The sequence below is a fragment of the Homo sapiens genome, chromosome 13, assembly GCF_000001405.40.
Source record: "Homo sapiens chromosome 13, GRCh38.p14 Primary Assembly".
In the NCBI taxonomy this organism is placed as follows: Eukaryota; Metazoa; Chordata; class Mammalia; order Primates; family Hominidae; genus Homo; species Homo sapiens.
The window spans coordinates 26,471,254-26,488,198 of record NC_000013.11 but is presented as its reverse complement, the minus strand read 5'-3'; the positions used below and the strand labels follow the sequence as shown (position 1 = coordinate 26,488,198).

General features: G+C 47.1%; 2 annotated features.

The window, feature by feature from the left end:
* Nucleotides 2,176-2,687: an enhancer, noted in NCBI's record as "H3K4me1 hESC enhancer chr13:27059649-27060160 (GRCh37/hg19 assembly coordinates)". NCBI's record gives its function as "activates a minimal SCP1, AML or CMV promoter by ChIP-STARR-seq in primed H9 embryonic stem cells {active_cell/tissue: H9 hESC(primed)}" and the evidence as "EXISTENCE:reporter gene assay evidence [ECO:0000049][PMID:30033119]".
* Nucleotides 11,693-11,987: an enhancer, noted in NCBI's record as "tiled region #712; HepG2 Activating DNase unmatched - State 4:PromP". NCBI's record gives its function as "activates a minimal TATA promoter and a strong SV40 promoter by Sharpr-MPRA in HepG2 cells {active_cell/tissue: HepG2}" and the evidence as "EXISTENCE:reporter gene assay evidence [ECO:0000049][PMID:27701403]".

Below are 16,945 nucleotides of genomic sequence, written 5' to 3'. Positions count from 1 at the left end.
TCGTTCTCTTCCTAAAGTCAAACCAGAGGCACTGCATGGAGGTCCGGGTGGAGCGTCGCCCTCATCAGTTCTGTCCTGGGCCCTGGAAGGAGCTGGGCCACCTGTGCGGTTTACGGGGGCCTGTCATCACTGCTCCCTGCTTGTCTTCTGACCTTCCCCCTCTGACAAGCCTGTTCCCTCCCAGCCCACGCCTGGAGTCGCCTGCTGGCCTGGCCAGCCTTGTCTGACTTTTTTGCTGAAGAAGGGGATCGGGCTAGATTCCAGCGGCTGGCTGGCTTCCCAGGTTGTGGCAGGCCTTGCCCACTTGGGGGACATCTTGCCTTGTTTGCCCATTGGGGCCATCGTGTAGACAGACCCTTGCTTGGCTTTGTAGCTCCAACCAAGGATCTGAAGGTGGACTTCCGGAAACACATTCCTGCCCAGCTAAGGCGCCAGAGGTCCTGCAGGTGGAGGGAGACTCCTGGGATGGCCAAGGATGCTCACCGTTCCACGAAGCTTGCTGAATAGTTATGACACTCTTGGGGCTTACCTCTCTAGGCTAACCACCCTACAACACGTGCTCACAAAGAGAGAGAGGTTTTCTGCTTTATGGCTGCTCCAACCTCGTGTGGTCTCGTGTCCCTTCCTGTTCTTGCAGGATCGCTGCACTGACCTCCGCATGAGAGGAGAGGGCAGAATGTGGCCCACCTCTCATCCTGAGGAAGCAGGGGCCGTCCACGGCCTCCCCACTGTCCGATCACTCCAGGTGGCATAGACCCTTTCTTGTGCTTGTTTGTATGTGATTTTCATGTTTTCGTGCCTGACAAGGGGAAGTGGTTAGTATACAAGTGGCACATCAACACCATTCTGGTCATTCTTTCTAAATGGAATTTTCCAACAATTTTTATTTCCAGAAGTCCCATGGATCCAAACAGACAAACAACAGAAGAGCAAAGGGAAATAAATGGTTATGAGTGTTCATCATAGAAGCACAAAGAGCAAAGCTCCTTGCAAAGTCCTTGAGGCCTCCTGCCTCAGACCTTCCCTGGTTCTCTGTCCCCAGGCATCATCAGCTGATGCAGAAGGGACTCTGCCTATCTTTAGACAGAGAGAAATCAGGATCAGGGCTCTGCCACCTTCTCTGCTAAGTCCACTAACCTCCTGCTATTCACTTCATCTCTCTTTGGCCTGTGTCTCATGTTTTATTAAATTTTATTAAATGTCCTTTCTGGTTCCCATCACCTCTGGAAGCTTGCTTTTGTCTGGCCACCACCAGAACAAGCCAGGGAGGGAGGCACCTTGTTCCCACAGTGGCACCAGGTATCTGTTAAATGAATGAATTCAAGTGTGCCGCCTGCCCTGGTTAATAGTCACCACGCTGGGGAGGAGCACCAGCACCTCGGTCCTCATAGATTAAGATTGTGGCTAAGAGGATGGAAGCTGTGTAAAGCAGAGCCAGAGCACAGTTGGCTGCAGCTAGAGATCCCTGTCCCTGGCCCGCACTCCCAGCCTGCACTCCCTCCCCATCCTCTCGTCTGGGACACACACATCTTGCCTGTCTCTTACAAGCCAGAGCCAAAAAAGAAAGCAGATATTAACCCAACTAAGAAACTAAAAGGAACAGCAACAAGTAAAGAGATTAAGACGAACAAAATGTGAGAAGGAGATATAAAAGGGTAGTAATTTGTTTTTACGAATAAATGTATTCAGGTAAGTAAAAATTAAGATGTGGATGATAAAAGGGTGTCAGCTTCAGGAAACTAAAATGATTTATAAGTCACACTAAAAGGAATGAGGAAAATTTTAAAGATAGAAGACAAAACGTTAAGGGAAAAATTCTAGACAACAACAGGAAGGAAATTAAGGTGGTTAAAAATGGATCAAGTTGTAAACTAGAGGCCTCAGATCTTAAAGAATTAGAAAGCTGAGTAAAGTAAGCAACTTTCTATGTAAACTAATAAAATATTTTTAAACAGTGCAGAAAACGAAGGCTCTTAAGGCTATTAACCCGGGCAGGCAACACACATGGAAGGTCACTGCAAATAAGATGCCAATACTTTAGAAGCCAGCAGTGGGGGTTCCTGGAGTCTCCTCAGGCAGAGGTCACTGTGGTGAAGGGTCCCTAGCAGGCCTCGGCAGGGCCCAGGTCGCCGACTGTCCACCTTGCCTCGGGCAGCCGGTCCCTGTTCTCTCTGTTCCTTCTGAAGTGCTGGTGAGGTCTGAGGGCCCTGGCCTTTGAAAAGTGCTGCCTTTCCTGAGTCTGGCTCAAGCCTCAGAGCGCGTGAGACTCATGCTGGGAGTGAGAGCCTCTCCCCCTCCCGTGACATCCCCTGCTCCCTCCCACTGTGGCACAGGATGGATGATCACATGTGGGTTTCTGCACACTCCTCGTTTTGGGGCACAAACAAGGTAAAAGGCCCTTTTGGGCTCCAGAAAAGAGTAACAGCGAAAAGACAGATGACAGAGGACAGAAATAACGTTTAGGTATGAATATTTCAAGCTACTTACAAAAGCTAGCTCACTCAGTTGGCAATAGCAGTGTGTCCATTGTACAGGGGGAAACCCTGAGGCCTGTGACCCGTTTCCCATCCCCTTTAGCCGCCACAGTACCGCACACTGTGCTGGTTTCAGCGCTTTCGCATCTGATTCTCAGTTCTTTCTGTTTTTCATTGAAGCCATATTTGTTTTCTCTTCAGCCTGCTGATTTCTGGCCCGTCGTCAATTCTGACTGGTGCCCAGCTTCCCTCTTGATATGTGTGTGTTACACAGACTCTCTGTATCCCAAACAATAGAGGGATGAAATCTCCAGCATGAGATTTTAAGTGCTGCTTCCATTTTGTCCACTAAACAGTAAGAAAGCCACACAGGTTCCTGACAAACAAAGACTTCCATGGCTTTCCCAGGAGAAGGGTCATCTCCATAGATGTGACTGCATGATTGTGACATTAATAACAGCCCTTTCCATGAGCAGGCACAAAGACACTAAGTCCCTAGTTCCCTGATGATTTTTCTTTTTTTCTTTTTTTCTTTTTTTTTTTTTTTTTGAGCCGGAGTCTCACTCTGCTGCCCAGGCTGGAGTACAGTGGCGCGATCACGGCTCACTGCAAGCTCCACCTCCCAGGTTCACGCCATTCTCCTGCCTCTGCCTCTGGAGTAGCTGGGACTACAGGTGCCTGCAACCATGCCTGGCTAATTTTTTGTATTTTTAGTAGAGACGGGGTTTCACCATGTTAGCCAGGATGGTCTCCATCTCCTGACTTCGTGATCTGCCCGCCTTGGCCTCCCAAAGTGCTGGGATTACAGGCGTGAGCCACCACACCCGGCCCCCTGATGATTTTTCAAGAGGCAAAGTACATACCTTCCCAGCAGAGAGGAGAGAAACCACTAAGTCAATCCACGGGGCTACATACATCATCAGTGCCTTGGCAGATACTCGCGGCCTTCTAGACCATGGCTCCTGCCCTATGGAGCCTGTCATTGGATCAGGTAGATCACACAAGGTGGCTGACCAGGCAGGTGTCATTAACTGCCCAGTGGGTGCAGAGATGCTGAAGCAATGAGTCCAGAGGCAGATCGGGACTCACCTGTGACCACGGGCACAGGTGCCTGAACGCCTGCTCCTCATTCATAAACCAGAATTCATCATGACACCCCCCTCTGAGGGGACGCACACCTGTTCACGGGGCTCATCTATGTCAAGCATGACTGGTACATGGTATTCACCCAATGAAGGAGGAGCGTGCAGAAACCCACGTGTGATCATCCATACTGTGCCCCAGTGGGAGGGAGCAGAGGGTGTCACGGGAGGGGAGAGGCTCTCACTCCCAGTATGGGTTTTGCAAGCTCTGAGGCTTGAGCCAGACTCAGGAAAAGCAGCACTTTTCGAAGGCCCAGACCCTCAGACCTCACCAGCACTTGAGAAGGAGCAGAGAGAACACAGACCAGCTGCCTGAGGTGAGGTGGACAGCCAGGGACCTGAGCCCTGCTGAGGCCTGCTAGGGACCCTTCACCACAGTGATCTCAGCCTGAGGAGACTCCAGGAACTCTCACTGCTGCCTTCTAAAGTATTGGCATCTTATTTGCAATGACCCCAGCCTTAAGAGCCTTCGTTTTCTGCACTAATTGAAAATATTTTATTAGTTTACATAGAAAGTTGCTGATTTTAGTTTTTCTAAGTAAAGCTAAGTGAGTTTCTAATGGGTTAAAAATGAGGGTGCAGACAGTGTAGACCAGTCAGGAGGGCTGGACTGAGGGTGCTGGACCCAGGAGAGGGTACAGGGTTGGAATTGTGGGTCTGCTTGATGGCAACAATGTGACCAATCTAATCTATGTAGCTCAGTAGTCCTCAAGCTGGGAGCGATTTTGTCCCCCAAGAGATATTTGACAATGTCTAGAGACATGTTTGTTCTCGCTAAGTGGGGAGGTGTGCAGCCGGCATCTACTGGGTGGGGGCTAGGGATGCCTGTCAGCACCCTGCAATGCACAGGGTGGCCCTACAACCAAGAACCGTCAAGCCCCAATATCAGCAGTGCTGCGGTGAGGAGTGCCGCCCTGGATGAAGCTGTGGTGCTCTGGTGAACGTATTAGCAGGTGGGTGTTCCCGGACACTACCCCAGAGATGATCAATTAGAATATTTGAGATAAGTTACCTCCTGCTCCCACCCTGCCCACCCGTATACATAGTACAGAGGTTCAGAAGCAGGCAGGCCCTGGACATGGCACTTAAACTGCTCTCCAAAGTGGAGGCTAACCACGGCACATATGTAACGATGGACAGGCTTTGCACACTGAAGTTTTCCAAACCTTTCCGAGCACCTGACCACATCAAGTCCTAAAACGGTCCTTTAAGTTCAGCTTTATTCCCCTTTTACAAACAAGGAAGCAGAAATATGAGAGTTTCACGTGCTCATGGTAGCAATATCTGCCAAGTGGCAGAATGAGGACTTGAATCCAGCACCCAGCTCATTCCCTGGTTGGCAACAACAAATGTTTGTTGATTGGATGAATGATTGAATAAATAAATTCAAGCCCTCTGACTTCAAAATTCATTTTCTCTCCACTCTTGCATGATACCTCTTTAACTATCTCATAAGGTACTTAGAAGATGTAATGAAACTAAACTTGTATGAGTTATGATAAAAAAAAATAGGAGCAAAGACTTGCTTTTTTCATACAACTGACTTTGAAGTTGTTGAGATATTCAAATCCAGTAATGGAAAACTATTAGTCTATGAGCCTGAACTTTCAAAGAAAGGGAAGAATGACCTGTTGAGACTTGAGCTGATAATAAGTGATGTTACTGAACAGCACAGTGTTCTCTATTTCCAACAATTGTTTATTTAGTGAAACTGCTTAGGCTATAAAGGGTTAAAAATCAAGGCTCATAAAAACAGCCCCAGGGACCAAGAATTTTCAAATAAGCACTTTAGAAGTTTGCCTCCTGGTGGACAGAGGGGAAACTGCAAACAGTGTCAGGTAAATGTGATGGTCTAAGTCAGGCAGCATTTCCCCTTCCTGTTTGTCTGAGGTTCTTCTCACTCAGAAAACAAGGAAGCCACTCTGATGGGCTGGACTGTGTCCCCCAAAGCTTCATGTGTTGAAGCCCTAACCCCTAGCTCCTCAGAATGTGACTGTATTTGCAGGTAAGGCCTTAGAAGTGGTCACTAAATTAAAATGAGGTGGTGACGGTGGTTTGGCCCTGGTCCAATCTGACGGGTGTCTTTTTTTTCTTTTTTTTTTTTTTTGAGATGGAGTTCCGCTCTTTGTTGCCCAGGCTGGAGTGCAGGGGCATGATCTTGGCTCACTGCAACCTCCGCTTCCCGGGTTCAAGCGATTCTCCTGCCTCAGCTGGAGGCAGTAGCTGGGACTACAGGCGCACCGACCACGCCCAGCTGATTTTTGTATTTTTAGTAGAGTCGGGGTTTCACTGTGTTGGCCAGGCTGGTCTCCAACTCCTCACCTCAAGTGATCCACCCGCCTTGGCCTCCCAAAGTGCTGGGATTACAGGCGTGCAGCTGCACCCGGCCTGACTGGTGTCTTTATAAGAAGAGATTAGGGCCGGGCACGGTGGCTCACACCTGTAATCCCAGCACTTTGGGAGGCCAAGGCGGGTGGATCACTTGAGGTGAGGAGTTGGAGACCAGCCTGGCCAACAGAGTGAAACCCCGACTCTACTAAAAATACAAAAATCAGCTGGGCGTGGTGGCATGCGCCTGTAATCCCAGCTACTTAGGAGCCTGAGCAGAAGAATCACTGGAACCCAGGAGGCAGAGGTTGCAGTGAGCCAAGATCACACCACTGCACTCCAGCCTGGGCAACAGAGTGAGACTCTGTCTCAAAAAAAAAAAAAAAAAAGGGATTACACGGAGACCCCAGGGGACTGTGCACAGGGGAAAAGCCATGTGAGGACACAGCGAGAAGGCGGCCATCTGTGAGCCAAGGAGTGAGGCCTCGGAAGAGACCAACCCTGCAGACTCCTTGATCTTGGACTTCCAGCCTCCAGCACTGGGAGACAATCAATGTCTGTTACTGAAGCCTCCCAGGCTGTGGCACTGTGTTATGGCAGCCCTAGTGGACCAATGCAGCCACCATTCAGGAACAAGTTTTCCCAGTGACAAGGAAGTTAAGCATTCAGTCCATTATCGAGCATCTATTCTTTAAACTTGTGTCTAATTTATGAAGGGGCCTCTTTGTGGTTAATTGCAGTCTAATTCAGATGAAGCCCAAACTATGCATCCATGTGAAAAGGTCGGGCCCTCACCATGGAGCTTACTGGTAGCACATTGTTGATTCAAAATGAGCATTTGCTCACCTGTCTGTGCCCCTTTGGGTCCCTAGTAAGACTATGTCTCCATTTGTTGAAAATTTTAATTTGAAAAATTTGAGAGCCATCATTTGTTTCTTATTGCAAAACTTATACACAAGTATTGCAGAAAATGTAGACCAGGAAAAATAAAATAAAATCGAATGAGTCCCTTGCAATCAGAGCTGATCCTGTTAACATTTGTTATTTCTCATCCACAGTGGGGTATTTTCTTTTCTTTCTGTGAATATAGATGAATAGCTTTGGTTCATTTACAAAAATGGGACCATCTTATACAGATTGGTTTTAACTTTTTCTCACCAATAATCTGTCATAAACAACTCTCCGCATCATCAAATATTGTTCTACAGTACCATTTGTATGGCTTTTAATCTTTTATTGCAATAATATATCTTAATTTAATTAATCTGTAGATGGATATTTGGTTCCTTTCTAATTATTATTATTATCATTGCTATTGTAGGAGACAATGTTATGATGAACAACTTGGTAGCCTTTGCTTATATCCATGATTATTTTCTTGGAATACTAAATTTTGATTTTTAAAATTTAACTTTTACCACTGGTAAATGGGGGAAAATCCCTATATTCCCAACCAATAAATAATCTAAACCAGACAGCAGGAATACAGTGATCATTGCTGATGTCTGAAAATATTCACCTTTAGACCGAATTGTGAGGATGATGGCAATTCATGGAGGATGGCTGGGAAGTTAATCAGCAGGGAGGAATGAGGAAGAAAGCAGGGAGAACGTCCACGCCTTCCCATAGCAAGGCTGAAAATGAAGCTGCCAGAAAACAAGTAAGGAAATAAAAAGACAAGTAAAGAGACCTAAGGAGTGGAGAATACGGTTGTTAAAAGGAGTGGAGTGAGAAGGCCGTGGTTTGAAGACCTGATATGACTGGCATGCAGAACGCTCCCGCTCCCCACAAGGCTGGCTGGCATGTCTATTGTCCACCGTGTGCTTTCGGGGGACTTGGAATATTTAGCTGGTTTGCCACCACTGCCCAGAGCCCCTGCCACTGATATGTGCGCAAGAAAACAAGAAGTATAACATTAGATTTGGCAAAGCATGAAAAGGAGGCAGAGCTGCTGCAGGAAGAAAATTCATCTAACACTTTATAAAGTAAAACAAATAAATGTGAGTGTTCTGTTTCACATCTCTGATCGCTTCATTCATACGGAAAATTCAAAATTATCTGCAATGGACATATATTCAGGGTGCCCAGTCTAGGCCATTTCTTTATCTACCACTTTGGCCAGAAAGGAGTGTGTGTGTGTGTGTGTGTGGATGTGCGTGCGTGGATGTGGGTCTGTGGGTGTGTGTGTGCGGGTTTGTGTGTGCAGGTGTGTGTGTGCGTGTGCACGCGTGTGCTTTAATTAACTGTATTAGCCCTTAGAAGAGTGATGCTTATTGTGTCAGAACTGGGCCAAGACTTCTATAGTGAAGATCACACAACTGGCTAGAAAAAGTTTCTTAGGTATGCAAAGCAAGCGCATTCTAGGAGAATGTTTGAAGCTACATGTCCCGGTACCTGCCTTGCTGGCCTGGTCCCAAGCCTCTTCTATGATGATGCCCCTCAACACTTCCTTGCTAGCTTCTGCGTGTGTCTGTGAACTCTTCTGGCTACTTGTGGTCAACTTTTGGCCCCTGACACTTCCCTCCCCCACTCTGAACACAAGCCCACAGCACCACTTGCTCATGGGAGCCTGTGTGGGTCGTATTGTCCCTGGGGCCTGGCACTACACCACTCCGGCATGGTAGACCAGCAGGCAGGTTTACAGTGTGGGAAACACAATCCTCAGAATGAGATTGGCCCTGAATCCATTTTTTTTTTTTGAGACAGGGTCTCGCTCTGTCACCAGGCTGGAGTGCAGTGATGCCATCTCGGCTCACTGCAACGTCTGACTCCCTGGTTCAAGTGATTCTCCTGCCTCAGCCTCCTGAGTAGCTGAGATTACAGGCGCCCACCACCATGCCCAGCTAATTTTTGTATTTTTAGTAGAGACGTGGTTTCACCATGTTGTCCAGGATGGTCTCAATCTCCTGACCTCGTGATCCGCCTGCCTCAGACTCCCAACGTGCTTGGATTACAGGCGTGAGCCACCGCACCAGGCCCTGAATCCAATTTTAAGAGATTGACATTGCTGTATAATCCAGCCGTGGCATTCAGGATTTTGGACATCCAGGTGGGGAACGTAATGATGAGCACAGAGATGTTTCCTTGAAAGGAGGGACCCTTGCCTGAGAAGGAAAGCCTGTGGCTGCCTCTGACCCAGTTGGTCATCTTGGGACGGGTGCTATGGTCCCAGGGGGCTTTGTGGAGCAGGTCACCGCCATCATCATCATCACAGAGGACTTTTGTGACATGAAGCTGAAGTCCACAGCTCAATGGGGACCTGTGATGAGCTCTGGAGACCCATGAAGAGGGAAAAGCAAATTAAAGATTAAAGCCATTATGAGATACTAGTACTCACTCACCAGGATGTCTAAATAAAAATCATGGACAATAAGTGCTGGCAAGGATATGGAGCAATAGGAAGCCTCATAAATTGCTGATGGGAATGTATTAAAATGAGTGGCAAAAAGAGCAATTACTTTTGCGCCAACCTAGTAAGTTGATACAACCACTTTGGAAAACTTGTTGGCATGTTTACCTACAGCCGATTGTATGCATATTCTACGACTTAGCAGTTCCACTCCTATCTTAAGTGCATGCACTGTGCACCAAAAGACATGTGCAAAATTGTTTGGAGATGCACGATTTGTAATTGTCCAAACCTGGAAACCTATTTGTCCATCAAGATTTGAATAAGCCAGTAAAAGGTGGGATATTCTCACAATGGAATACTATTCATCTATGGTTCTCAAAAGTGTGGCATCAGCCAGCCTAGGCAACATGGTGAAACCCCGTCTCTACAAATAATACAAAAATTAGCCTGGAGTGGTGGTACACACCGATAGTCCCAGCTCCTCAGGAGGCTGAGGTGGGAGGATTGTTTGAGTCTGGGAGGTCAAGACTGCAATGAATCATGATTGCACCACTACACTCCAACCTGAGCAACAGAGCGAGACCCTGTCTTAAAAAATAAAGTGCGGGCCAGGCGCAGTGGCTCACTCCTGTCATCCCAGCACTTTGGGAGGCTGAGGCGGGCAGATCACGAGGTCAGGAGATCAAGACCATCCTGGCTAACATAGTGAAACCCCATCGCTACTAAAAATACAAAAAAATTAGCTGGGCATGGTGGCGGGTGCCTGTAGTCCCAGCTACTTGGGAGGCTGAGGCAGGAGAATGGCGTGAACCCAGGAGGCGGAGCGTGCAGTGAGCTGAGATTGTGCTGCTGCACTCCAGCCTGGGCGACAGAGTGAGACTCTATCTCAAATAAATAAATAAATAAATAAATAATAAAGTGCGGCATCAGTATCGCAGGACAATCTGTTAGCATACTCTGGAATTTTATCTCAGACCTCCTGGGTCAGAAACTCTGGGGGTGGGGCCAGCAATCTTGTGTTTTAGCCAGCCCTGCAGGTGACTTTGATGCGGGCTAAAGTTTGAGAACCTGCTGTACAGCAACAAGACTGAAGAAACTACAACTCCAAGCAAAAACATGAATCTCAGCCATAATGTTGAGCAAAAGATGTCAGACCCAAAAAAGTGCATGTTGGAAGATTCCATTTATACGGAGCTCAAAAACAGGCAGAACTGTTTTGTGCTGCTAGAAGTCAGTTATGGGTGAGGCCTGTGAAGCACCTAGAACAAAATGTAAGGGGCTAGACGTGCTTGACCTTGAGAGGGGAGGCCTCCTTACACTGTGCACCCCAGGCTCCTCAACCTTTCCCAACCTTGGTCAGAGTGGTGATTATTCTGGATGGTGTGGGCTAAAGACTTCACACATACTTGAAGGTGAGTGATCCAGGGTAATCCGTGAGGGCATCCAGGCATTACTATTGTTCTGTGTCTCCATCCGGGTGCTGTGTGCACCAGGGTGTTCAGTTCCTAAATATTCTTCAACCTGTACACTTACGGCTGGTGCACTTTTCTATATATAAGTATGGAATAATCTTTCAATAAAAGATTACATATCCAATGGGAATGATGCCCTCATTTCAGGATGAATGGCCTTGGAGTCATTGCTTTCATGCCATCATGGGTCGAGTGTCTGTGTGTGTGTGAGTGTGTGAGTGTGTGTGTGTGAGTGAGTGTGTGAGAGTGTGGGTGAGTGTGTGTGTGAGTGTGTGTGTGTGTTTTAATGGGCTTAGAAAATAGAAAAAAAAATTCAGGGTCAAATCTAGTAGATTATACATAAAAAAATTTTTTCTAAAAAATGACATGGGGTTTCCGATGTAGCTTAAATGGACTCTAAAGGCCTTTGCCAAGAGAAGGGAGTTCCAAGTGTGCTCTGAGTGTGGGAAAAGCTTTGGAATGAGAGTATAACTTCCCAAGGGGCTTCTCTGAGGGGCCCCTCCCTGAAGCCTGTGATTTCTGGCACAGGCACTAACAGATCAGCCAGTGAAGTGTCCCCATCCCGTACCACCTGCATTCTCAGAAAGTGGTGGTTTCTACTTGACTCCGTACTTCTGTTTAACTTCATGCCTTGGTGAGCTCTATGGATGGCTTGTTTTACCTGGTCTTTGAATGCAAAGGGGAATTGTCTCCCCAGGCCGTGCTGCGAGCAGCTGGGCTGGAGTCAGTGACAACACACAGAGGAAGCCAGATCTCGGGAATCCAAAGCATTCTGTGCAGACTCTGAAGGAAACAGGAACAGATAATTCTAGCAACTCCCGCCTGGATGTGGGGATGACTCTGATGGAGGAGAGGGCTGTTGGCCAGAACAAACCCCCGCTGGCTCCTGACACTGGCCCTGGAGCCAGGCAGCGGTTGATTTCTGAATAAAGTTGCCTCCGGAAGCAGAGTGACAAATAGCTCCCTAGCTCTGACTTTGAATAAAAAAGCATGAATGCCGCAGGAAAGCCCTGCAGCTTCCTGTGTGACGGAAGAGGGCTCAGCCCAGCCTGCCCGCTGCCCTCCCTAGGTTCTAACCTACCCTGAGGACAGTCCCCGCCCCTGACCGCCGCCCTGCGGACCCCGCTTCTGACCCTGCCGAGGTCAGCAGGGACGCGGTGACCCAGTGCTCCTGCACAGGAAATACAGTGACCTAACCAGGCCTGGCAGAAGGACCGGTCAATGTGGTGAGCAGCCAATGGAGAATAGCTCTGTCTCTCTCAGCATTACTTCACTGTCTAAACGCCCCTGGAATTCTATTGGATACCTAAGTATTTCAGCAAATGTGCTATCCCACTCTTCCTCTAAAGTCAGCGCCTGCTGTCATTCAGTTCAGCATCCAGGTGCTTACGTGAGGAATCAGCCGTAGTTGCTTTGTCTGCCAGTCTGTCTAGCAGGGACCACCTCCTTCCACCCCCGAAGCCTCAGCCTCACCCAAGCCCTGCCCCCTCCCTGGGGTGTGGCCACAGCCTTGTTCCCATCCTTGCCCCCTTGCCCCATCCCACCTCTCTTCCAGGAGAAGCCAGAGCCCGGCAGACACAGCAGCGGGATCACGGCCTTCCTGAGCCCAGCCCTCCTGAGCCCAGCCCTCCTAAGCCCAGCCCTGCAGCTCCTGAACCCTCTCCATTAACCATGGGTTTCTGATGCTTTGGCCTCTTGAGGCTCTTGAGGCTCTGCTGACCTTAGAGAGGCTGCCTCTCCCCATTTAGCCAGGTCCTAGAGAGAGCAAATGACTGAGTGCAAGCACCTTTCATATGCAAAGCAATTAAGCCAGAGCTCACACCCCGCTACACCACTATGCTCCTGGCCCCTGGCCCCTTGCCCTAATCACCCCAGGGCCAGGTACCAGACAAGTAGGGACTGTCCCATGCCCAGGGCCTGCAGAAATTACTCAGACCAGCCAATCCTAAACCTGCTTACCCTGCCTTGCCTGTTCTTTCCCATGAAAATCAGAATCAACGCTCCCGCCCATGTTTCCCTCCACTCCCTCCCCCCCTTGCTTCCCCAGGGGGCCCCTACGGTGTGGAGCGCTCCCAGCTCACTTTTCAATGGCAGTCCGCTCCTGATCTGTTGGCCTTGCCATACCTGAATAATAATAAAACCTACATTCTAAAACATCCTCAGAGGGAAAGCCAAGGTCTTCATGCGGTCTAGGCTCTGCTGCCCACTCCCGGAGCCACTGGTCACATATGGTTATTGAGCATTTGAAATGTGGCTGGTCAAAACCGAGATGTGCTGTGAGTGTCAAATACACACTGGGTTTTGAAGACTTAACACAAAAGAAAGAAGAATGCAAAAAAGCTCATCCATTAGTTTTTATTATCAACTACATGTTGAAATAATAATATTGTAGATACATTGGGTCAAGTAAAACACATTGTTTCCTTGTTTGGGTTTTTTTTTTAGTACAGCTACTAGAAAATTGAAAATGACTCATGTGGCTCCCATTCTATTTTTTTTTTTTTTTTTCACAGAGTCTTGCTCTGTTGCCCAGGCTGGAGTACAATGGTGCGATTTTGGCTCACTGCAACCTCCGCCTCCTGGGTTAAAGCCATTCTCCTGCCTCAGCCTCCTGAGTAGCTTGGACTTCAGGCGCCTACCACCACACCCAGCTAATTTTTTTGTATTTTAGTAAGGATGGGGTTTCACCATGTTGCCCAGGCTGATCTCGAACTCCTGAGCTCAGGCAGTCTGCCCACCTCAGCCTCCCAAAGTGCTGGGATTACCGGCGTGAGCTACCGCGCCCAACCTCCCATTCTTTTTCCACTGGACACTGCTGGTCTAAGCATCCTTCTTGACCCACCCTGCTGCCTTTTTGTCTTCCTCTTCCCTTCTCTGTCTCTCTCACTCCATCTGCCACACGCTGCCTCCTTGCTATGCCTTGCATGCCCAGGCAGCCCGCTGTCTCAGGACCTCTGCCTGTGCCGTTCTCTCCAGCTGGAGTGAGCCTCCGGATTCCTGCAAAGCTGGCTGCCTCCCTTCCCTCTTGTCTTCGCCCTACTGTCACCTCCTCAGTGAAGCCGGCCCTGGCTTACCACTGTAAAGTATCAGCATCACCCAAATTCCTTGCTGTCTCCCTGCTTTATTCTTCGTGCTTAAATGTATCTCTAGCTAATATTTGCTCATTTATCATATGATCGATGTCTCCACCAGCACGAAAGCTCACAAAGGCAGGGATTTTTGCCTCTTTTGTTCTCTGCTGTATCCCCTGTGCCTAGAAAGAACAGTGCTTCACACACAGTCACACTCAATAAATATTTGTTGAATGAATGAATGCAGAATACAGGCTTTTAGCCTCAGGGTGCTCATTTCGAGTAAGAGAAGTCGAATATATGTGACAGATAGAAACAGTGCCAGAGGCATGGGGAAGCAGGTGAGCAGCCTTCAGGGAGTCGGGAACTGGGCCAGTGGGGCAGGCCAGCCGTGCCAGAGAGGCCCTCAGACCCACTCTGACCTGCTGCAGTCAGCAGAGGTAGGAGGAGGGTACAGCAGCTGCAAAAGTGAGAAGAGAGCATTTTCATTTTCTTAAAGCTTCCCAGAAAGTTTGTGGGACTTGCTTACTGAAATCAACCCTTGGTACTGTGGCTTATTTTTATGAGTGGAATTTGACGCAATGATGAAGAATTGGCCTGACTTGCAGGGCAAGTGGCCCAGAGGTTTCCTGTAGAGTCTCAGACTCCATCTCAGAACAATTGATTAAAATTTGCATTTTAACCACATTCCTGACAAATCCTGTGCACATTGCATGCCAAATTGTAGTGTGTGCCATGAACAGATGAACAAAAAGACAAAATGTGGTATATGCATACAATGGAATATTATAGGAAATAATTCCTCCTCCTCCTCCTCCTCCTCCTCCTCCTCCTTCTTCTTCTTCTTCTTCTTCTTCTTCTTCTCCTTCTCCTTCTCCTCCTTCTTCTTCTTCTGCCTTTTTTTTTGTGTATGTGTGTGAGACAGGGCCTTACTTTGTCACCCAGGCTGGAGTGCAGTGGTGAGATCACGGCTCACTGCAATCTCAACTTCCAAGGCTCAGGCGATCCTCCACCTTAGCCTCCTGAGTAGCTGGGAAGGAAATTCTGACACACACTAACCTTGAAGATACTGTGCTAAGTGAAATAACCAGATGCAAAAGACACCTTTTGTTCAATTCCGCTTAGATGATGGAATTAAGTAGGCAAATCCATAGCAACAGAAAGTAGAATGACAGTGGTCAGGAGCTGGAGGGGTTAGGGAGAGTGGAGGATTGCTGTTTCATGGATTCAGAATTTCAGTCTGGAGGACGAAAAGAATTCTGTGGATTGATGATGGTGGTGATGGTTGCACAACAGTGTGAATGTACTTAATGCCACTAAACTGAACACTTAAAAATGGGTAACATAGGAAGATATATATATATACACACACATAGATATATATATATACACACACACATAGATATATATATACATGTGTATATATATACACATAGATATATATACATGTATATATACACATAGATATATACATGTATATATATACACAGAGATATATATACATGTATATATATACACAGAGATATACATATATACATGTATATATATATACATATGCATGTATACATATGTACATAAATATATACATATGCATGTATACATGTGTATATAAATATATACATATGCATGTATACATGTGTATATAAATATATACATATGCATGTATACATGTGTATATAAATATATACATATGCATGTATACATGTGTATATAAATATATACATATGCATGTATACATGTGTATATAAATATATACATATGCATGTATACATGTGTATATAAATATATACGTATAAAAATATATGTGTGTATATATATACTTGTATATATATATATATATATATATTTTTTTTTTTTTTTTTTTTTGAGACAGAGTTTCATTCTTATTGCCCAGGCTGGTGCAATCTCGGCTCACTGCCACCTCCACCTCCTAAGTTGAAGCGATTCTCATGCCTCAGGTTCCCAAGTAGCTGAGTATAGGAATGCGCCACCATGCCCGGCTAATTTTGTATTTTTAGTAGAAACAGGGTTTCACCATGTTGGCCAGGCTGATCTCGAACTCCTGACCTCAGGTGATCGGCCCGCCTCGGCCTCCCAAAGTGCTGGGATTACAGGCGTGAGCCACTGCGCCTAGTCATGTTATGTATATTTTACCATGATAATAAAAAAAAAGTGTGCTCACAAGTTTCCTGTGCTGCGGCCTGAGAATCTGCATTGCTGAACAGGTTTCTGAGTGGTGCTGATGCTACTGGTCCCAGGGCCACTGCGTAGCCGACTCAGGTCAGTACTTCCCACTTCACATCATCGGGACCCAGCATCAGGCCAAGGCCAAACATCGTGTCTTCTGTCCCCCGAAGCTCAATCCTCTTGGTTAATACCAGCTTGGACAATAAACACCAGGAGCTCCTGTGCCCCACCCTCCACTGGGTGAGTGACCTCTCTTCCTTAAAGGCCCCGTTGAGTTAACCTGACTTCAGCAGCACCTCCACCGGAGCATCCACACAGTGATTTCTCACCCACATGCAAGGGAGTATTCCCTGGGTGGAGGTTTGCAGAGCTTACGATATAGAATGCTCATACAGATCAATGAAGAATGAGAAATACCCTAATGGGAAAACGGCTAAGCGTAGTAATAAAGAAGCATTTAATAAAATAAGAAATACAGGCTGGACACAGCGACTTATGCCTGGAATCCCAGCACTTTGGGAGGCCAAGGTGGGAGGATCACTTGAAGCCAAGAGTTTGAGACCAGCCGGGCAACAAAAAGTAAAAAAAAAAAAAGTTAAATAATTTTTTTACTCTACAAATGTAAAAAATTAGCCAGGCATGATGGCACATGTCTGTAGTCCCAGCTACTTGGGAGGCTGAGGCAGGAGGATCACTTGATCCCAGGAGGTCAAGGCTGCAGTAAGCCATGATTGTGCCACTGCATTTCAGCCTGGGCAACAGAGTGAGACCTTGTCTCAAAAAAATGGAAAAGAAAAAAGAAAAAGAAAAGAAAAGAAAGATGGCCAAGAAATGCCAAAAATGAAAACTCTAATTAGTAATCAAACATGGAAGAAAATAATAAGAATGTATTTTTTTCATATAGTGGGTTGGAAAACAA